This window comes from Homo sapiens, chromosome 6 (genome assembly GCF_000001405.40).
Source record: "Homo sapiens chromosome 6, GRCh38.p14 Primary Assembly".
NCBI lineage: Eukaryota > Metazoa > Chordata > Mammalia > Primates > Hominidae > Homo > Homo sapiens.
Window position 1 is genome coordinate 518,272 of NC_000006.12, and position 24,501 is coordinate 542,772.

At 41.2% G+C, this 24,501-nt stretch overlaps 1 protein-coding gene across 18 annotated transcripts in view; it reads right to left on the minus strand.

Moving 5' to 3' along the window:
- The window catches only part of EXOC2 (exocyst complex component 2), a 207,986-nt gene that overhangs the window by 33,118 nt on the left and 150,367 nt on the right, over positions 1-24,501 (minus strand). For 17 of the 18 annotated variants that reach the window (NR_073064.2, XM_017011022.2, XM_017011023.2 and 14 more), the window contains one exon: positions 14,198-14,339. Coding sequence is in view for 17 of the 18 variants with exons in the window: in XM_017011022.2 (XP_016866511.1) it covers positions 14,198-14,339 (142 nt within the window). In the remaining variant the exon portion in view is untranslated. Of the gene's footprint in view, positions 1-14,197; positions 14,340-16,241; positions 16,310-24,501 lie in introns of those variants that run through there. The other variant, XM_017011026.2, reaches the window with a different exon arrangement.

A 24,501-nucleotide genomic window follows, 5' to 3' on the forward strand; every position in this document is an offset into this window, starting at 1 on the left:
GGGCACAGATCAGACAAGACTGGCTGTGAGATGATCGCTGCTTAAGTCGGCCAACAGGTCAACTGGATTTGTCAGACTGTTCGGTTTGGAGATATGTCTCAAAATTTCCATAACCAAAAGTTTTTAAATGACTTGGACTGTTTATTTGTACAATAGTATGTTAGTTTACCCTGATGCCAAACAGCATAGTTTATAGCTATCAATTTAAAACATAATAAAATAAATACTTTAGCAGATAAGACATGCAATGAAGAAAATATGTAGGCCACGGGTCATCTTGAAGTTAATAAATTTCACATTTAAGACCATTTGAGCCAACAACTAGCTTTATTGAAAAATGCTTGGCAGACAAAGAAACTATAACCAAATGCCTAAAGCATTGGACAAATGGTTTTACAGCACTGACTCTAATATATCAAACAGCTTATAAAGAAGAAGAAAATATCTGAAAACAAGCAAGATTAATGAAACTGTTGTTTTCTTAAAAAAAGATGACCAATGAAAATTATACTCCTTTAGAAAATGTAAAATTCCTTTTTGCTTTAAAGAGATTAAGTACAAGACTATTAATATCTACCTCCAAACTTCGTAAATGTAATTCAGAATAGTCCTAGGGATTGATAGTTTTCCATCAGAGTTCAGTAAAGAAAAAAAGATTATTGACTTAGGCTTCCCTCTTCAGAGATGAAGTCCACTCAACTGGTATCCGTTTTGATCAAAAGCAGAAGTCGTAAAGTGCCAAGTACTCAATGACAAGGACACAGAACCGCGTGAGGGATGGGTGGGTGACAGGGAAACCATCACCCACCGAGCGCCGACACTCACCGTCCACACTCGGAGACGAAAACCACCACCCACCGAGCGCCGACACTCACCGTCCACACTCGGAGACGAGAACCACCACCCACTGAGCGCCGACACTCACCGTCCACACTCGGAGACGAGAACCAACACCCACCGAGCGCCGACACTCACCGTCCACACTCGGAGACGAGAACCACCACCCACCGAGCGCCGACACTCACCGTCCACACTCGGAGACGAGAACCACCACCCACCGAGCGCCGACACTCACCGTCCACACTCGGAGACGAGAACCACCACCCACCGAGCGCCGACACTCACCGTCCACACTCGGAGACGAGAACCACCACCCACCGAGCGCCGACACTCACCGTCCACACTCGGAGACGAGAACCACCACCCACCGAGCGCCGACACTCACCGTCCACACTCGGAGACGAGAACCACCACCCACCGAGCGCCGACACTCACCGTCCACACTCGGAGACGAGAACCACCACGCACCGAGCGCCGACACTCACCGTCCACACTCGGAGACGAGAACCACCACGCACCGAGCGCCGACACTCACCGTCCACACTCGGAGACGAGAACCACCACGCACCGAGCGCCGACACTCACCGTCCACACTCGGAGACGAGAACCACCACGCACCGAGCGCCGACACTCACCGTCCACACTCGGAGACGAGAACCACCACGCACCGAGCGCCGACACTCACCGTCCACACTCGGAGACGAGAACCACCACGCACCGAGCGCCGACACTCACCGTCCACACTCGGAGACGAGAACCACCACCCACCGAGCGCCGACACTCACCGTCCACACTCGGAGACGAGAACCACCACCCACCGAGCGCCGACACTCACCGTCCACACTCGGAGACGAGAACCACCACCCACCGAGCGCCGACACTCACCGTCCACACTCGGAGACGAGAACCACCACCCACCGAGCGCCGACACTCACCGTCCACACTCGGAGACGAGAACCACCACCCACCGAGCGCCGACACTCACCGTCCACACTCGGAGACGAGAACCACCACCCACCGAGCGCCGACACTCACCGTCCACACTCGGAGACGAGAACCACCACCCACCGAGCGCCGACACTCACCGTCCACACTCGGAGACGAGAACCACCACCCACCGAGCGCCGACACTCACCGTCCACACTCGGAGACGAGAACCACCACCCACCGAGCGCCGACACTCACCGTCCACACTCGGAGACGAGAACCACCACCCACCGAGCGCCGACACTCACCGTCCACACTCGGAGACGAGAACCACCACCCACCGAGCGCCGACACTCACCGTCCACACTCGGAGACGAGAACCACCACCCACCGAGCGCCGACACTCACCGTCCACACTCGGAGACGAGAACCACCACCCACCGAGCGCCGACACTCACCGTCCACACTCGGAGACGAGAACCACCACCCACCGAGCGCCGACACTCACCGTCCACACTCGGAGACGAGAACCACCACCCACCGAGCGCCGACACTCGCCGTCCACACTCGGAGACGAGAACCACCACCCACCGAGCGCCGACACTCGCCGTCCACACTCGGAGACGAAAACAACCACCCACCGAGCGCCGACACTCGCCGTCCACACTCGGAGACGAAAACAACCACGCACGGAGCGCCGACACTCACCGTCCACACTCGGACATGAAAACCACCACCCACCGAGCACCAACACTCACCGTCCACACTCGGAGATGAAAACCACCACCTATTGAGTGCCAACAATCACCGTCCACACTCGTAGATGAAAACCACCACCCACCGAGCGCCAACACTCACCGTCCACACTCGGACATGAAAATCACCACCCACCGAGCGCCAACACTCACCGTCCACACTCGGAGATGAAAACAACCACCCACCGAGCCCCGATACTCACCGTCCACACTCGGAGATGAAAACAACCGCCCACCGAGCGCCGACACTCGCCGTCCACACTCGGAGAGGAAAACCACCACCCACCGAGCGCCGACACTCGCCGTCCACACTCGGACATGAAAACAACCACCCACCGAGTGCCTACACTCACTGTCCACACTCGGAGATGAAAACAACCACCCACTGACTGCCAATACTCACCGTCCACACTCGGAGATGAAAACCACCACCCACTGAGCACCGACACGCACCGTCCACACTCGGAGACGAAAACCACCACCCACCGAGCGCCGACACTCACCGTCCACACTCGGAGATGAAAACCACCACGCACTGAGTGCCGACAGTCACTGTCCACACTCGGAGACAAAAACAGATTCTGAAAAGTGTCCCAACAAACAGCACTAGGAATATGATGTTCATGATGGTAGCCTTAAAATTCTGTGGGGCTCAAAGTGTCTTTAGAATAATGAAGAAAGGTAGAACTACATTTAGGAGATCTTTGGTGTTACAGTATTTTATAGCATTTGAATTCTTTTTTTTTTTTTTCCTGAGACAGGGTCTGTCTGTCACCCAGGCTGGTGTGCAGTGATGGGATCTTGGCTCACCACGCCTTGACCTCCCAGGCTCACGTGATCCTCCCACCTCAGCCTCCTGAGTAGCTGGGACCACAGGTATGTGCCACCATGCCCAGCTAATTTTTGTGTTTTTTTGTAGGGATGGGGTCTCACTATGTTGCCCAGGTTGGTCTCTAACTCCTGGGCTCAAGCGATTCACCTACCTCAGCCTCCCAAAGTGCTGGGATTACAGGTGTGAACCACCATGCCTGGTCTCGAATTCTTTGTAAATGGGGTGTCCATGTTATTTTTGGTTATTTATCCTAATTAATAAACCAAAGTTCTCTTTTTGACATTTATTGAATAAAAAATAGTTGACTCAATTTGACTTTCTGTTGAAAATAACTATTAATATAAAAAACCCAAGGGTAAATTTCGTATTTTATTGATGTTCATTTTCACCTATCATCTATGGCTTGAGTAACCCTTACCAAGGCATTAGCTAATCAACTAATAACTGAATAAATCTATTACTGGATGCTTACTCCAAGCCAGGTGCCTGGCTAATCATGGATACAGAGAGGAGACACAAGCAGGAGGGTTCACATCCAGACAGGTGGACCAGCAGGACAGTGTGTGGTGAGCACTGTGAGCTGGGCTGGTCTTAGGTGAAATGATGGTACAGCAAGGTGTCTCCAGGCCTCAGGCAGGTCCACGCGGACTGCAGGACAGCGTGTGGGGGAGCATTGAGCTGGGCTGGGCACAGGTGAAATGATGGTACAGCAAGGTGTCTCCAGGCCTCAGCCAGGCCCATGCGGACTGCAGGACAGCGTGTGGGGAGCACTGTGAGCTGGGCTGGGCTCAGGTGAAATGATGGGGACAGCAAGGTGTCTCTAGGTCTCAGGCAGGTCCATGCGGACTGCAGGACAGCGTGTGGGGAGCGCTGAACTGGGCTGGGCTCAAGTGAACTGATGGGGACAGCAAAGTGTCTCCAGGCCTCAGCCAGGCCCACGTGGACGACATGACAGTGTGTGGGAAGCATTGAACTGGGCTGGGCTCAGGTGAAATGATGGTGCAGCAAGGTGTCTCCAGGTCTCAGGCAGGTCCATGCGGACTGCAGGACAGCGTGTGGGGGAGCATTGAGCTGGGCTGGGCTCAGGTGAAATGATGGTGCAGCAAGGTGTCTCCAGGCCTCAGCCAGGTCTGAGGGGATGAAAGGAAGGTCAAGTGAAGGCAGCAGTGTGCTTGAGGGCATCTGGGAAAGGGAATGCTGGGTCTTTGAGGACTAGCAATGGCCCAGTGTAGACTGAGTACAGATGACCAGGAACGGCTGGTATGAAGAGATGAGGCTTCAGAGCTAAGCAGGTCAGCACATGACCAGTACTAAAGCTGTTTTCCTCCAAAGGCCAGGCGCCATGAAATGGCTGTGAGGAAAGAAGAAACCTGAACAAAAATGAACTTCGAAAGAATATTTCAGCAGGATTTGAGGGAGTGAGACTGGAGAGGAAGAGATCAGATAGGGAAAAAAAAATCTGTTCTGACAGGTAACATCTGAAAATCTAAATCTGATAGGTAAGATAAAGAAACCAGAGATGGGATGGCGCTATGCAGAAAGGGACATTTAGAGCCTCTGCTGGCCAAGGGGGTGTGTCCAAGTGCTACCAGTTTGGTGTCCTTCAAATGGAGAACATTCAGGGCACACTCTTGAGATCAGTACCCTGGCTCCCCAGATGCTGAGGGAGCACACTCGTGCTTACCACCTTGGTTAAGTGAGAACGCAGTGCGTCCACCTCCTACGCACAGAACTGTCGGCTTCTCTATTTATGCTTTAAACCTGGAAATCAGAAACTGCTATTTGAACAACTTGGAAAACTTGGACAGTGCTTTGTATAGTATAGACTTGGTAATATTTGTTGACTTTATGAATGAAAAATGTACTTTCTATCTGTACATGAAGTATTTTGTAGACATTGAGTATACAGATTAAGAGATTAATTTCACTTTATTCTACTCTTGCTGTTTCAAACATGTATATTTTCATATCTATGAATTCAAGTTAGACTAAGTTTAAACAGGGCAATGAATGTATGGTTTATTTTGGCAGGTGCCAAAGTATAATCAGTTCTTTTAAAAAAATTGTTTGTTTTTTGAGACAGGGTCTCTCCCTGTTGCCCAGGCTGGAGTGCAGTGGTGCAATCATAGCTCACTATAACCCTGAAGCCCTGGCCTCAAATGACCTTATTGGTGATATCACTAACTCATATGATTAAAATGCAGCTTTCTAAATTCCTCTTAAAAATGTACAATGGGGAATGGAAAACTACCTCTATTTTCCGCTGAATTGATAACGTGAATACAATGTTATTATTTGAAGGTGATGTTTGGGGTAGTATGAAGGTGTGGGTGGGGTGCAGAGCTGAACTAAGACATTACAATATATCTAGATGCTTCCACCAAAACTGAAAAAGCCGCAAAGGGAGGAGAACTTGAAGTTTGATTATGTTAAACAGAGGGGGTAGCTCTGCTTATGGATTTATTTTTTTATTGATAGAAAAGTAAGAGCAATATATGCTGAGTGGAAAGAAAAATGTCTTATAATCCTTATTCGGTCATTCATTAGGACATTTACGTATGGGGAAGAACCACCAGACTCGGCAATGACTGTAATTACGTAGAGGTGTCATCTTGTGAAGAGGTCAGCATGGCTCCTGCCTCTGGTCGTCCCATGACTACCAAACACCACGGCACATCTGTATCTATGTAAGAAACCTGCACGCTCTGCACATGTGTCCCAGAACTTAAAGGAAAATGAAATAAAATAAAAATAAATAAAACAAAAATTTCAAACATTAAAAAAAAGAAGCCCTACTTAGTCATAATGAATTAGTGTTCCACTGCATGGACAATAGTGCTTTGATCTGCTAAAAATAATTGTTACAATTTTTTGTTCCAACGTTCATGAGGGACGCTAGTCTGTAATTTTCTCTCCTTGTAATGTTCTTGTCACATTTTTGATTTGGGGTTATGCAGGTTTCATAAAATAAGATTGAATATGCTTCCTATTATATTTTCTGATAAAGTTTGTATAAAATTGGTATTATTTATTCCTTAAATGTTACATAGAACTTATCAGTAAAACCATTTGGACTTGGAATTTTCCACAAAGAAAGGTCTTTGATTGTGAATTCAACTTAATAAATATAGAAATTTTTCTATATTTAATCATCTTTTAAAAAATCAAAAGTCAAAACCCAAAAAGTTTGTCTTTTCTATTTTCCCACATATCAACCATTTCTGATTCTTTTTATTCCTTCCTTTAGATTCAAGTTTCCATCGAGTGTTTCTTTGGCTGCATCCCTCTGTGCCTTCTGCAGGAGTGCTGGGCACCTGCTGCAGTCGTGGATGGCCCTCAGATCTGGCTGGTGCAAGCTCCCCTCCTGCAAGGGTTCAAGCGCCCCCTCCAGTCTGTCGGCTTTTGACGGCTCTCCAGTGCTTCTCACAGCTGGGTTTCTATATTCTGTGCAGAGTTCAATTTTTAACTGTGGAACGGTTAGTCTGATAAGTTCTTCCTCTATTACTGAAACCAAAATTCCTCTGAAGCTTGCACTTTTTATTCTGTGGTAGTTCTAATTAAGAAAGCATGCTACATTTTATCATTAATTTTAGGATAGTTCCATCACAGGCTTACATAAAGGCATTGTAAAAACTTTCTAAGTGTAAGATAGTGCTACTACTAAGCTAACTTTACTAGGTTTTTCTTCACAAATTTACCCAAAGTGGAATTTATTCCATTTTCAAATGTCTAATAAAATGTTGAACATTGTTCAATGAGTGTTCTTGCAATGACTAGAGGCTTTCCTCTAGACTGACATGAAGACATGATGGCAATAAGTCAGCAACTAGGACTCCTGAAAATATCAGGAAAAACTGTCAAATGACTTGCAGAAACCTAAATTCACCATGTATGCCATTTCTCTATCAAATCAAGTGTGTGTCCAAGAAGAAAACAAGTTAGTACTGCATGTGCCTGTTCTTTGTGGGTATGCTGTCTCCATGAAGTTTTTCATTTCTTTAAAATATAGAAATTTCTTTTTTTAAAATAAAAATACATCTATTCTGCCCCAATATTTTTAAAAACAAAATTTTAAAGTAGAAAATTAAAGTTTTCTAGCATGCTCCTTCTTATCCCCTTTCAAGATATGTGTATACATGTCAAATTGTACATATGAAATAGATACATTGTCTTTTTCAATAAAAATGAGGAAAGAATGAATGCATGTCTCCTTAATCAACATTTTCTACCAATATATGTACAGTCCCCCACATATAGGTATGCATTTACTTATCCATCTATCCATCTCATCCATTATAAAGAAAGTATAATATTTGTTTAGATATATAACAAATTATCTAACCAATTCACTACTGATGGGCATTTAGTTTTTCAGATTCTACATATATTAAAAAATGTTTCAATAAACATCACTGTACATAATTCTTTACTTACTTCTGTAAAACTTTCCTTAAGACAAATTCTTAGACACAAAATTTCTAAGTAAATTCTATACATATAAATGTGTGCATACACACACACGCACACACACGTATGTGTATAGATGGGCCAATTTACACTCCTAGAAAGATGACGGAATAGTTTTTTTCTCTGTACCTTTGCCAAAAAGCAGGTATTATCAAGCTTTACAGTATCTGTCAATCCAGAGGGTTTTAATAAAATGATACCCTAATGGTATTTTAAATTACATTCTTTGAGAATTGATGAATTTTATCCTATTCTTATATTTATTGGCCATATTAGTTATTTTGTGAATTTCATGAACTTGTGTCTATTCTACCAGCACATCTGCCTTTTTCTTTGTGGATTTTTTTTTTTTTTTTTTTTTTTTTGAGACAGAGTTTCGCTCTTGTTGCCCAGGCTGGAGTGCAATGGCGTAATCTCGGCTCACGGCAACCTCTGCCTCCTGGGTTCAAGCGATTCTCCTGCCTCAACCTTCCGAGTAGCTGGGATGACAGGAATGCACCACCGTGCCCGGTTAATTTTATATTTTTAGTAGAGATGGGGTTTCTCCATTTTGGTCAGGCTGGTCTTGAACTCCCGACCTCAGGTGATCCGCCCGCCTCAGCCTCCCAAAATGCCGGGATTACAGGAGTGAGCCACCGCGCCCGGCTCTTCGTGGATTTCTAATGGAGGCTGTTTATTGTCTAGCAACACAGCACAATGCCTAAAATTAAGGGCTGCCTGGATTTGAACTCGGAACCCCTACCTCACCATTTCCTAGCTACATGAACTTGAGCAAGTCACTTAACTTCTTTGTGCTCAGTGGCTTCATCTATAAAATGAGAATAAAAATACTGCTTACTCCTTGAGGTGCTGTTATATAGATTAAATCAGGTGATTTATGCAAAGCCCTCTGCCTTGCACATGGTATATATGCAATAAATGCTGACTACGTTACTAAACATGGGTACCTAGTAATGTGTGTATATAAATGCATGTATAAGGAATATATGTATAAATTCACATATACATGTAACATACAACTTATTTTATAAGGACCTGAAAACATTTTAATGGTCCATTTTCTCAGAGAGCTACATTAAACTTTGAGGTCTGTCTGCAGTTTTCCATTTTTTGAAAATCAAACAAAAATTACAATTTCTCCTTATCTCCATTCTTGTAGCATTTTTCTTATTCTCTAGAAATTCTACGCTGGACCTGAGCTTTGAATGATTTAAGTTACAGGATGCAAGAGATAACCTAATTGTGCAATGTCTCTTGTAAAATTCAGTGAAAACATCTGCAAGATACATTCCAAAAGGCAGAGATCTTAAAATAAAATTCAACAAACATAGACTTGAGAAGAGCTGTGCTTCTGCCTCTGTCTCCATAATTAGACTTACATTTTCTTTCTCTTCAATTTGTTGGAATATGCTGCTTGGCACACTGCCTGGACAACACACTTACAAGTTTCGCTCACTGATGGACTGTGCACCCCAAGCCTGTGCTCTGGCACACCACTGACGGGCAGGAGGTTACCCTACTCTAGGTTATATGCATCATACATGGAAGCAACCAACTCTGCTGTTATTTTTAGAATGGTCCTAGACATACTCATGTCACAAATTATATAAAGTTTTCCCTTTCCCATTATAATTTCAATTACTATAATTAGTATAAGCACATTTGAATCAAAAATAAGTTCACTATTTACCTATAGAAAATGATTAAGTTTAGATTCACTTAGTAAATAACTTTAAATAATATACATTAATTTAAATTTTTATGACTTTTTGATAGAAAAAATAAAACCAGTATTTAACAGAAAACTTAAATAATACTTTTTTCTTATTTAATGTTTCAAAGACGTGAACTTCAATGTGTATTTGTAAGTAAAGACCAACAGTATTCTTATTTAAAATTTATAAAATTCAAATACTAAGAACTCTTAATAATTGCAGATAACAGAACAATTAAAATCTTAACAGCAGTTTTGTGACTCAGAACTAACTAGAATAATCTTTACTGACATATACACAAATAAAGAGGTGACAACAATTTAAATACCCAACGGTAAGATTTAAAAAAACATCGCTACGGCTTTAACGGATATCTCTTGTTGAATCATGAAATTAATCAACTGGATTTTTTTTTTTAATCACTACATACAGTATCGGAAACTAAATTTATTGGTAACTACAGCAATAAGTAATCAGTTACCTACATGATTTGCAAAATTCAGTTTCTGAAGAAGTAAACTCTGAAGATAATACTAAAGTTGTTAATTGAAATTATTTTGGAAGATTAATAGTCAAACTATTTTGGCTGCTCACTTTACACAAGGTCTCAACTTAAGTCAGCTTTAAACAAACTAAAAATCACTATATGACTATGCAAGGCTGAGGTTCAGTTAGTAATCATGAAGTCAAAACTACACAAAGAACAGAACTAAATAGAGTTTATAAAAGTGAAACGAGCACCGATGACTTCTACATGTTTTTGGAATCTGAGGAAGAGTAAATAAATTGCTGGTAGTATGGTGCCATGTGCCATTTGCTTATGAAAGAAAGTTTGTCAGGAAAAAAACAAAACCAATAAACGAAGCTATGTTAAAAAAAAAAGCCTCACCACTTAATGTCACACAGCCAGAAGAATCTTAATTTTGTAGTGAAGATTATCTGAGGTTACAGACTCTTATTAAGATCAACCTCAGGATTACATTTAGGCTCTGATCCTAATTCACAACCGAGGCTTGTCTAGTTCAATGTCATGGCTGGAAAATATGAAGGTCACAGAGACAGGATTCTGGGTACCTTAAATAAATCCAGTGAGGACTTTGAAATTCCAAGTGGTGGTAACTAGCTGGATGCAGAAGAACCCTAAGATAAATCCAGTGAGGACTTTGAAATTCCAAGTGGTGGTAACTAGCCGGATGCAGAAGAACCCTAAGATAAATCCAGTGAGGACTTTGAAATTCCAAGTGGTGGTAACTAGCCGGATGCAGAAGAACCCTAAGATCCCCGTTAGCCCGGCATCGCCTGCCTTTTACCCCCCCCCGCGCCCTGGTTACTGCTCACTCAAGTGCTGCCACACGATTCACAGCCTCGTGATAATGGCCAGCAGCCCCTGCACTTGAAGTCCTGTGACCTAACGCCGCCCTTCAGGGAATGGGCCTTCATAGATGTCTGTTTTCCGAAGACACCTTGGAGCGGGTGGATGGGAAAGACCTGCCTTTCACCTGACAGACATTCTCGACTGCCCCTGCCGGTGTTCGGCATACACTAAAGATGCCTCGCTGTTTGTTAACGGAGGCAGCAGGTCTGAGAGAGGGCTGGCAAAGAAAAGTCTTCTTCTGCATCAGGGGCAAATAAATCCTCTTTCTCGGTAACAATCGGAGATTTCAGTGACGACAGAGAAGAATCACTTTGTTGAGAGTGAAACTCGGTGGCCCATTCTAAATTTTTATAGTCATCACTGAAGCGCAGGAAACTCAGAGGGGCTGTGTCATGATTTTTTTCTATTCTCAAAGAAATATCACAAGTGATTTAATAGCCTTGAACATAACCAATTAAGATAAGCATGATTTCAGAGTGAACAGTTAACGTACTTACATGTGAATCACAGGAAAAGATATGAACTTTGACAAAATTCATTTAAACTATTACTGAACAATGTATTACTTTTTGCATGGTGATGCAAAGTAATACATTGTTCAGTAATAGTTTACATAACTAAACAGATAGAATTGCTGATGTGTTAGATGTGTGAACAGTTAATGTCGTTACATGCTAATCACAGGGGAAGATACGAACTTTAACAAAATTCATTTTAACTATTACCGAAAAATGTATTACTTTTTGCATGGTGCAAGGTAATACATTGTTCGGTAAGAGTTTAAATAGTTAAACAGACAGACGTGCTGATGTGTTAGATACACTTGACAGTCGCATTTTAATTGAAACGCAGCTGCTCAAATTTAGCAAGTCTATGCAACTACCATATGAGAATTCACAAAGGACAAGAAAATGAGCACTCTCACTCATTCCCATTCAGCAAATATGAATATCCACCGTGTACTGTTTATTAAAAAGCAAATCAGAAGAACAGTGGAAGCTAGAACACTGTATAATGTACTTTCCTACTGAGAAAATTTTGAGAAAAATCAGGCAAAAGCATATGGCAAACACTTAGAAGAGAAGGAGCAACTGGCACATTTAGAGAGATGGTATATTATTATAGAAAATGCCAATCTTCATTTACTCCACAAACACACACACAGCATCAGCTGAGTGTCACAGACTGCACTATGCTAAAAACTCTGAGAACAAGACACCCAAATGACGGCCTTGTGCTGAGACTGTCCAGCAAGGAGCTAGATAACGACAAAACATTTCCCGCGGGCACAGAGAGTGGCAAGAGCTGCTCTGGGAGCATCACGAATGGAGGTAGGCCAATGCGACCTGGAGACATGCAGGGGATGGGCTGGGTGAGCTCCCAGAGGACACAGGGCCCGGAAGGGCAGGAGAGGTTAGGAGAGGGGCAGAGGTGAGAGGGACTAGGCACAGGGTTCACAGTGCACGAAGCACCCAGCCTGCCTGCTGCCTGGGGGAGCCCGTGGAGAGGGAAGTAACTCATAGCAAGCACAGGGAGTACTGCTGGCCCTCTGCATCTGTGGCCTCTGCATCTGTGGCCTCCACAACAGTGGCTTCTGCATCTGTGGATTCAACCAACCATGAATGGAAAATATTCCGGGGTGGGGGACCCAGATGGCTGCATCTGTACTGAGCATATACAAACTTTCTTCCTTGTCATGACTCCCTAAATGATACAGTTTAACAACTATTCACAAAGCACGGGCATTGTATTAGGTGTTATAAGTAATCTAGAAATGATTTAAAGCATACAGGAGGATGTGCATAGGTTACATGCGAATATGACACCATTTCACACTGGGAACTTGAGCATCCGTGGAATCTGGTACCTGTGGGGATGCTACCTTGTCTGAGAAGTCTGGGGTTAGCCTCAGGGAGAATGAGCCTCCTCGAAGGTTTTTCAGCAGGGGATTGACAGGATCCAATTTATATTTTAGAAGGATGAGCTTTTCAAAAAGGCAGAGGTTGAGTCCAGCTGGAGAGGGGCTGTGAGGTGGAGCATTGGGGCAGTGGGCAGAGTGCCAGGGCAGAGGTGGGCACAGCACAGCTTCCCCGGTTTTACTATCATGAGAAGATGTTGTAAGAATTTTAAGTAAGATACTGATAGAACCTGCCTTAAACTTTAAAAGGATGTACTTTGAGGGTATGAACTGAATGTGGTTTGGGCACAGAAAGTGTGTGCACAGAAAAGTGTGTGCACAGAAAAGCACATGAGGAATAAGGGCTGGCATGACTGCCATGACTGTGAGCTCAGGAAATTCAATAACTGTGGTCACATTAAGTAACTGTGGCTAATTTAATGATCCCAGTTTTTAGTTTACACTTTTGGCATCACTATACGTGAACACTATACAATAAAAACCAAAGGTGTTTAAACAGTAAACAATTTTATCATCGTTTAGTATAAGTGCCATACAATAAAAACAAAAGGAGGTTAAAGTGATTGGTTAAAACAATGAAGTTACCAAACCTGTTAACAACTCACTGGTGCTTTGTTATATCTGCATATGTACACCCATGAAGAACCCGTGTCCGATACCAGCATGACCACTTCTACATAAACTACTTCTCTACAAAAGTGCCAACAGGCAGCTTGGTTTTAGGTATTCCACGTTATTTCATACAAAGAAACAACTATTTGATCAATCAAAAGTTTACTTGATTCAGAAAGCAATAGTTATTTTAAAAATATATATTTTGAAGTGATTCAAGTGACTTTCATTTGAAATCACAAAGATAATACTTGAACTGTGTCATTCATCCTTCTGTGGCTCAATTCTCTTTGCTAAATTACTATAATAATCTTACTCCTACACACTTTTCTCCTATCCTTCGCCTTTACAGCATCACTAATCAGGTCTTACATAGAAGTGACCAGATTTCTTTAATACATTTTTTGATGATGTACACAAGGTCATTGCATGCCACTGTCACTCACAATCACTCTATTGTATCTATGTGAGAAGATCACAGGAAGCAGGAATGCATTACTAAAACGATCAATTATTACAAGTTATCATTAATTATTCTCTAGAATTTAAGAACAGCTTTAAGCCACTAATAATACAAAGTGTCCAATTTCCAAACTATCCAAGAAATGGGTTTAAGCAAACAAAAAGTTAAAATCAAATTAATCTCTCACTCTCAGTAGATATGAGAAAAATGAGAATAAAATGAAAAGAATTCAAGCAAGTATCAATTGATAAAAGTATATCCACATCTATTACTCAAGAAACTTTATTACTTACCTGTTGGAGGCAGGCAGTCCTTCCAATCAAAATATCCTGCATAAATTCCAGGTTCTAAGGAGCCAACGATGGGATCTGCTTTCAACTCGATGTAATTTTCAAAGAGTCTTTGATCTAGTTCTTTCAATGAGGCCATGCTAACCTATAAACACATAATGAAGAGTATGAGTTGCCTATTTGAGGGTGATGGAAAAAGTAAAATAATGTTAACAATAAATACTTCAGACTATAATAAAAGCACTTCTCAATTTTCCTACAAAAACTCGTGACTTTTATATATTTTCAGTAACAAAGATCTCTTTTAGCATAGCTATTTTGCAGGAGAAAAAATAATCTCCATATATGGACTACAGGTCATTGTATTAGTCCGTTCTCATACTGCTATAAAGAACTGCCCAAGATTAGGTAATTTATAAAAGAAAGAAGTTTAATTGACTCAATTATGTTATGCATGGCTGGGGAGCCCTCAGGAAACTTACAGTCTTGGTGGAAGGCAAAGGGGAAGCAAGGCATCTTCTTCACAAGAAGAAGGAGAAGGTGGCCAGAAGGAGAAGTACCCAGTGGAAGGGGAAGAGAGCCCCTTATAAAACCATTAGATCCCATTAGAACTTACTATCATGAGAAGAGCATGGGGGAAACGGCCACTACGATTCAATGACCTCCACCTGGTCTCTCCCTTGACACGTGGGGATTATGGGGATTACAAATCAAGAGGAGATTTGGGTAGGGACAGAAAGCCTAACCATATCATTCATTTTTGAAAATACTAACCACTCATTTCTGTACACAGAGCAAGAGGCATTATAAATACTAAATTGTAATAGCCAGTAAACTACAATTAAAAAGGAACCATTTAAAATCATGTTCTGTTTCTTCATATTAACTAATTCATTTGAAAAGTGTGACCAATAGAAAATAAGCCTGCTCTGACACTCCAGTAACCCCAGTGTGGCTCCCCTGGATTCTCCCTCCAGTTACAGCTCTGCTTGAGGGGCGTGCAGGTCAGGCCTTCGAGTCTAAGGCAACTCCACAGGGAGGCCAGACACACGCTCGCTGTCATGGGCAAAAAGGAACAGGAAAGACCCCTATCAGTAAGTCCTGTCCTTGGCACAGTTCAGCTGCATGGACTGTGGGGGCTCCCGATGGGAGTGGGAGCAGAAGAGGGTAAGGAGGCTGGCATCAGCCCTACGTGAGTGTGCCTTGTCTCACCAGCAGGCAGGAGGCCAGAAGAAGAAGAGGGGGGAGGCAGAGACCCAAGCATGGAGGATATGGGAAGTCTGGGGTGTGGAGAGTCTGTGGGCCCAGGTCACCCTGCAGGGGGCTGGTGGCCGTTCTGCTTCTGCAGCACTGGCCTGAGAGGGATAGGCTTCTCTCCAATGCCAGGCCTGAGCTGCAACGAACTACAGTGAAAAATAAACACACGTCTAAGGGAGTCCGCTGCTATGCACAGGCACATCCACCAAGCAGTGAAACTCAGCTGCAGAAGAGACAAGCAACAACTTGAACAGAAAAAAGAAAGAAAACCCTCATGACGATTAAAGTATAATACAAAACAAGATTTCCAGAGGTGAAACATACAACTTCCAAAGCTAACAAATGAGTAGATTAACACAAGGAACTCCTGGTCACTGTTGAGACTGATCTGAAGTGCAAGAACTACTTCAAAACATAGAGTAAAAGTGTAAAGACATGAAAACTATGAACAACAAGACTAGAAGATAAACCCAGGAGCTCTAACATGCAAAAAATAGAAATTCAAGTAAAGAAATACAAGCAGATAGAGAAAAGGTATTCATTAAACAAGCAGTAGGAGAAAATTTAACTGGATCTAAAGAAAGACCCAAGTTTGCAACTTGAGTAGGCTTGCAGAGTGCCAGGCTAGACTGGTAAGACAGCCCACATATCTAGGCAACTACTGTTAAAGTTTCTAGTTTCTAATACATTTACTCTAAATGAGAGAGAGACAGAGAGAGAGAGAGAGAGAGAGACAGAGACAGACTGACTTTCAAGCTTCTAGATCAAAACAATAATTTACTTACAAAGAAGAAAGAACTGGTCTGACGTCAGATTTCTCACATGCAGTACTGGGAGCTGAAATCACTGGATTAAAATCTACAGGAATGAAAGAACAGAACCCAAGAATCCTGTATTTAGCCAGCGTGTCATTCTCTTAACAGAGTCCGAGAAAGATATTTTTGGATATGCAAGGGTTCAAGGAGTATTTCACCCATGTAATGAGAAAGGGCTCTAACCTAAAATCAAACACATCAGAACGAAGAAGATGAACTACTGAGGAAAACAGTGACAGGCAATAACTCTGAGTTCCCTCTCGCCCTTCTTTATCTCTCTCTTTCTCTAGTATCTATAAACACAAACCGAAATAGATGATTAGAGACTCCCTGGACATGTGAAATACAAGTGTGAAGTAAGATTTCTTCAAAGGAAGGAGGCATCCAAAAGGGAAATACTAATAACACACAATGAAGAGATAACATATCAAAATCTGCAAGAGAGAACCAGTGGCTAGAAATTTATAGCTGAAAATGTTTTAAAAGAAAAGTTTAAAAGGAGAAAAACTTAAATCACTGCTCTAATTTTCTGCCCCAAGTATCTAGAAAAAGAGAAAATTAAACCCAAAGAAAATAGAAGGAAAAGATAAAGAACAGAAATCAATATCTTAAAAAGGTAAATATTAAAGAAAACCACCAATGCCAAAAGTAGGATCTTTGGAAATAATAATAAAAATGATTAGCCAGGCATGGTGGTGCGCATCTGTGGTCCCAGCTACTTGGGGGCTATGGTGAGAGAATGACTTTAGCCCAGGAGATCGAGGCTGCAGCGTGGTATGATTCAACTACCGTACTCCAATCTAGGTAACAGAGCAAGACCCTGTCTCTTAAAAAATTTGAAATTTTTTAAAAATTAAAAAGGAATAACAACAGAAACGATAAGCTCCTGGGCAAGACTGATGAAGAAATAAAGAAAAAAACCCACATATTGCCAAGAACAGAAATGAAAAAAGAAACATTCCTATAGATCCTGAAGACATTAAAAGGATAGTAAAAGGACATTACAGTTTTATGCCATCAAGTCTTGACAACATAGAGGAAATTGCTAATCTGCTGAAAAACACAACCTTCAAAAACTGGCACAAGTAGTCCTATATTTATTAAACTAATTGAATCCATTATAGACAAGGACTTGACAATGAGAACTTCAGGTCCAGGTGGTTTCATTTGTGACTCTACCAAGCATGTAAGGAAGAAATTATAGCACACACAAACATTTTCATAGAATAGAGGCTGAAAGCATTTCCTATTTTGTTTAATGAAGCCAGTATAACCCTAATATCCAAACTGAGCAAGATATTGTAAGAAAAAAATCACACGCCAATAGCCTTCATGAACAAAGACATAAAAACCCAAACAAACTATTGGCAAATAGAAACTATAAATAAATTTTAAAAACATATCATGCAGAAGTGGTATTTTTTCAACAGATGAAAAAGCACTTGAGAAAATTCAATATACTTTCATGACAAAAATTCTCAGTAAACTAAGACTAGAAAGAAAATCAGCTGTGTAAAGGGCATCTACAAAATGGTACAAATATAGAGTGCTTTCTCCAGAAGATCAGGAATAAGGCAAAGTTGTCCCCTTTCACCACTATTTCAAGATTATACCAGAGGTCCTAGTCCATGAGATCTGGCAAGAAATAATACCAAAAAAGAAGAAGTAAAACTGTTTTTATTAACAGAAGACATCATTACGTATTTAGAAATTCTAAGCAGGTTGACATACTAATGGAATAAGTAAATTTATGGAGGCAGCAGAGTCAATAACAAAAATCAATTATATTTCTATATAATAGACATCGAAGGATTATAATACAATACCATAAAAAATAAAATACCTAGGAATAAACTTAACAAAAGACATGGAAAATCTCTAATGGAAACTACAAAACACTGCTGAAAGAAATTAAAGATGGCCTAAACAAATAAATAGGATCATCAATATTGGTAATTTTCTCCAAATTCAATGAACCCCTAAAAGGCCTTTTCTTGGTAAAAATTCACAGGCTAAAATTTATATATAAATGGAAAGGACCTAAAATAGCCCAAACAATTTAAAAAGAACAAAGTTGGAAGACTCATACTACTTGATATCAAGACTGACTATAAACCTATAATAAATAAAACAATGCAATATTGGCATAAGGATAGACATCATAGACCTAAACATAAAAGTTAACATTACAAAACTTCTGGGAAAAAATATTCAGGACATTGAAGCAGGTAAAGATTCTGACAACATATGAAAGGCATTAAACATTTTAAAAGCTTGATACAATGGATCTCATCAAAATTAAACAATTCTGTTCAAAAGATATTATAAAAACAAAACAGCAAGCCATGAACTGAAAAAATATGTATGCATGACAAAGGACTTATTTAGAGCCTTCTAAAAATCGTCAATAGAAAGATGACTGATCCAATTTAAAAATGAGCTGGGGTTAAACAGCACTTCAAGAAAGAAGCTACCTGAATGTATCTGAATATACAAGAAAAGGTGCTTAACATCATTGTTAGGGAAAACCAAATAAAGCAACAATGAGACTGGCTGAAATAAACAAGATTGGTAATATTAAGTGTTGGCTAGGATGCAGTTTATAACCGAGTTTATGACCGACGGAGCGTACACTTGAGTTGACGACCGACGGAGCGTACACTCGAGATGACGACCGACGGAGCGCACACACGAGATGACGGCCGACGGAGGGCACACACGAGATGACGGCCGACGGAGCGTACACTCGAGTTGACAGCCGACGGAGCGCACACACGAGATGACGGCCGACGGAGCGTACACTCGAGTTGACGGCCGACGGAGCGCACACTCGAGTTGATGGCCGACGGAGCGTACACTCGAGTTCATGACCGACGGAGCGTACACATGAGGTGACGGCCGACGGAGCGTACACTCGAGTTGATGGCCGACGGAGCGTACACTCAAGATGATGACCGACGGAGCGTACACTCGAGTTGATGACCGATGGAGTGTACACTCTGGAAAACTACTCAGAGTTCCTAATCAGCTTGTGCCACGACCAGCTATTGTACTTCAAGGTTTATATCCAAGATCAGTGAGTACAAACATCCACAAAGAGACTTACAGGAATATTCACCACAACTTTATCCATAAAGGCCTAAAACTGGAGACAACCCCATGTCCATCACCATGAGAATGATTAAACAAAATCTGGTTATCCAAACTCAGCAATAAAAGAAAATGACTCACTGGTACACACAACTGGATGAATCTCAAAAAATTAATTTGGAGCAAAAGAAGCCAGATACAAAAGACAACAAACTGCATGGAACTCCACGTAAAGTTCTGGGACAGGCAAAATGATTCTCTGCAGATAGCAGCTGGAACGTTGCTGAGAAGGGAGCCTACTCAAACAGGGCACAAGGGAAGGTTTTGTATTTTCATCTGGTGGTGGATGCTGGAACGTGTGCATATGTAAAAAGCCATCAATCCATAAGCTTAAGATTTGTGTCTTTTACTGTAGGTAAATTACACCTCATTTTTTAAAAAAAGAAGGGAAAAGAGGAGTTGAAAATAAATAGATGTGCAAACAGTTAATAGGCAAATGCTACAAAAAGAGAGTAGAATGGCAGTATTAATGTGTGATGAGGCAGGATCAATGTCAGGAGTACACAGCTCATACTTTTTGTTGTAAGGATTTAAACAGATAATTCAGGAAACTTGCATAGCACACTGAAAGCAAATACATAATAAATGCTAGCAGCTATTTCTATTAACTCAACAGCCTCATTTTCACTAACACCCTGTTCACACTGGCTGCTGAACATAGAAAACTGGGTCTGCTTGATTCCTGCTCAAAAAGCAAGGGTCAGATCCATCTACCATTAATCGCTATCTGAGAGTGAGGAAGAAAGATTAACTTTAAAAACATCCTGACACTAAGGAAATCAGTCTTATAAAGTGATGTGTTTAAGGAATGCAGTGGTTAAACAGAGACGGAGCGCTAAAGGGTCACTGATGGGGGTGAGAAAGGCAGCAGAGTAGACATGCCTGAGGGTCCAGTGGCCTTTTAGGGCAGGTGTCTCTAACAAAAACACAGTGCCTCCTTTAAAAAAGATAACAATTTAATTGTGTACAGACAGTCCCAACTTATGAGAGTTCAACTCATGATTTTCCCACTTTACCAGGGTGTAAAAGCAATGCGCATTCAGTATGTTCCCTGGCTTATGATGTGCTACGTCAGGTTAAACCCACTGTAAGTAGAAAATATCTGGCCGGGCACAGTGGCTCACGCCTATAATCCTAGCACGCTGGGAGGCTGAGGCGGGTGGATCACGGGGTCAGGAGTTCAAGACCAGCCTGGCCAAGATGGTGAAACCCTGTCTCTACTAAAAATACGAAAATTAGCCGGCTGTGGTGACAGGTGCCTGTAATCCCAGCTACTAGGGAGGTTGAGGCAGGAATTGCTTGAACCCGGGAGGCGGAGGTTGCAGTGAGCCAAGATCACACCACTGCACTACAGCCTGGGTGACAGAGCAAGACTCTGTCTGAAGAAAAAAAAAAAAAAGAAAATATCATAAGTAGAAAATGCGCTTACGATATTTTCAATTTTGGAAGGGTTTATCTGGAGGTAGCCCCATCATAAGTTCAGGAATATCTGTATTCAGAAATAGACTTACTCACTGAATTCGTACATATTAGCACTGAGGAGGGTCTTTCGAAGCATTAAAAAACTGTGGGTAATAACTTACAGAAGTAAAAGGCGTATGCTGGAGGCAGAATTCTGGTGTAATGGACAATACTCCCAATAAGCCAGCGCCCTGCCACCTTAGCAGCAATCATGTATATACTCAACAACATTTCCATCTCACGCACCGGCACTGATGCCAGCCAGTGCTCCCAATAAGCCACCGCCCTGCCTTTCTTAGCAGCAATCACGTACACTCAACAACATTTCCATCTCACGCACCAGGCACTGATGCCAGCCAGTGCTCCCAATGGACAGTCCTGGAGAAGAGATGCCTAAGTCGATTGTCAAATTTCTCTAACTTCTTTACTGTTGTCTTCAACACAGTCACAATGGTTTAAAAGATAACATCATTATTTTGATGTATTTTAATGTTTCCAATTTAAAATTTCCAATTTGTGATTTTAAAAACTTTTTGATAATAATGTTTTTTAAAAATTATGCTTCCAAGAAAGAAAATAAACAACAAACAATTATTTTCATTCCAATTTGGCCATCTGTATAGAAATAAGGTCATCAAACTATCATTAGAACATCTATCCAAGTGACTCTGGATAACTAGGTTCAGACAAATTAATTTTTTTTAGCTCTTTTCAAATGGATGGCAGGACAGGTGGCAAACTGACATTCCTTTATATTACTGAACCACAACTTGTCAAATGGGGGCAAAATAAATGCCAAGTAAATAACTAATTTTAAAAAACCTCTTAATTCCTAGGAGAAGTATTAACACAAAAAAGAAAACTACAGATGAAACAGGATATACTGTCACCTGAAACAGAAGGACAGCCTGTGTCTCCAGGACTTGTTAGCGAGGGCTTCCAAGCCACACATGCGCACACCATGCCCAGCTAATTTTTTTATTTTTAGTAGAGATGGGGTTTCACCATGTTGGCCAGGCTCGTCTTGAACTCCTCACCTTAGGTGATCCACCCACCTCAGCCTCCCAGAGTGCAGGGATTACAGGCAGGAGCCACCACACCCAGCCAGGAATTTTTAATAATCAAGTTAGTCACCTCACATCCTATATATTAGGCTTCAATTGTTTGCTCCACTGTTCTCAATAGGATAATCTTATCCTTGACGATTTGATTTTCTATCTATACAGAATAATCGGAAAGACACTGGAAAGAACTTTACTGCTACCACTATCTCCTTCCCTGATTTCTGAATTATACCATTCCAGAGTAAGTTAATAATTTCCCCTTACTTAGTAACAAAAAACAAAGTTTCTGGAGAAGAAACACAACTGAAATAACATTTCAATACACAGTAAATTTCAGCAAGATTAGACACAACTGAAGAAACAAGGAACAAAAAGAGAGAGCTGAGGAGATTACCCCAATCAGTACAGACAATTAAAGATGAGGAGAATAAAAAAGAAAAAAATTAAGAGATGTGAAGAATAGAGTGAGAAGGTCTAACATACACCCAATAGGAGATCTTAAAGGACAGAAAAGTTTGAATGGAGAAGAAAAAATATTTGAAGAGATAATGGCTTAGAACTTTCCAGAATTGATTAAAGACATCAACCAGAGCCAAGGGAACAAACAGGCCAAAAAACATAATAATACCAAGACACATAATAAAAATACAGAACAGAAGAGGCAAATAAAGTATCTAAAAAGGAGCCAAGGAAAAACCTTACTACATTTTTCTCAGTAATCAAGAGATCAAAGTCCAAACCAAACAAACAAAAGGACTGAACAACATAATCCACAAACCCGATGTAATAGACATCTGTGGAATGTGGTATCCAAAACGTAAGGACACGATCTTTTCAACCGAGGTAGGGTTTCAGAAAACTGTCCACATATGAGCTTACAAAGCAAGCCTCAGCAAACCTAAAAACATGATATTCTCTGACCTCAGAACAATGATGTTAGAAATCTCTAACAAAGAGAAAACTAATTCCAACTGCTCCTCTGCTCCCTTAGCTTGGAAATTTAAAATCATACTTCTAGCCAAGACTAAAATAGAATATTAAAATTCAAAACTAAAAAAAATGAAGAATAACTAAAATACCACTTGCGAAAACATGGGAAACACAGCTAAAAAGACACTTAGAGGGAAATTCACAGCCTTAAATGTTCATATTAAAAGACAGAAAGGTTTAGAATTAATGAACTATGTAAATAAACAAGATTAGAGTCCAAATTACTGCAAGAGAAAGCAAGGATATAACGAGAGAGCACTACTAAAGTCAAAAGTTATTCTCTGAAAAAGACTCTGGCAAGAAACAAAGAATAAAAATACAAACAAGCGATAGTAAGTACAAAAAATGACCATATCGCAGCTGAGGTTGAAGGAATAAAAATACAAACAAGCGATAGTAAGTACAAATAAGGACCACATCGCAGCTGAGGTTGAAGTAATAAAACTGTTATAAAACAATTTTACGCCAACAGATTTGAAAATTTAAGCAAAATGGGCAAAGTCCTAGAAAAATATAGATGACTACGATTAACATGAAGAAATAAAAAGCTGGATGGTTCTATAACCATTAAAGAAATTGGGCCAGTCATTAGCAATCATCTCACAAAGAAAATCTGGGCATACGGAAAATACCACTACCAGAGCGTTTTTCTAAATATTCAAAGAATAAATAATTCCAATCTTATGCAAACTCTTTCAAAGAAGAAAAAGGAATATATTCTTTAATTCATGTTACAAACGAGCATGACCTACATGCTACAACATGGATACATCTCAAAATAATACTGAGTGGGAAAACAAAGTCACAGAAAAACACACACCATATAATCTTATTTATGCTAATGTAAAAGTCAAAAAAGGTAATTTCAAACAAAATATTGTTTAGAAACCACACAATTCAGAAGTAGTTCTCTATAGGAGAAGGTGGGTGGCATGGCTGTGCAGGGGCACAAGTGGACATAAGGCCTCTGGGATGCTTTGTTCCTTCAGCTTGGTGGTGTGGGAGCACCTGGGTTCATTTTATCACTCTCTTACATCCTACATTATGCGATATCTATTCTATTATATGGATAAAATATTTAACATAAAAACATTTAAAAAGAATGTACATCTAGAAAAGAAGTGCATCTCCATTAAACTAATCATAATGCAATGTGTGACATGCTGTTCTAGTGCCGAGAACAAGGCATCAAAGGAGAAAGAGGACGGTACGGTGCACCTTGCACTTCGGGAATGGAGGAGGAGAGGCCCTACAGGCTTAACAAAGGATGAGACATCTGCATCTCAAGTGGGCTTTGGTGGACGATCAAGATTTTGTGAAGTCCGGATTGACTGAGGAAAAGGCAGTCCTAGAAAAATACAGATGACTACAACTAACAGGAAGAAATAAAAAAGCTGAATGGTTCTATAACCACTTAAGAAATTGGACCAGTCATTAACCATCACCTCATAAAGAAAATACTGGGCCTAGAGAGTACAACACAAGCTACAGATAAATGTTCCTACAACAGAGCACCGTAGTAAGCTGGCATTGAATGTGTACTTATTGAATGAGTGAATGAACAGAGAAA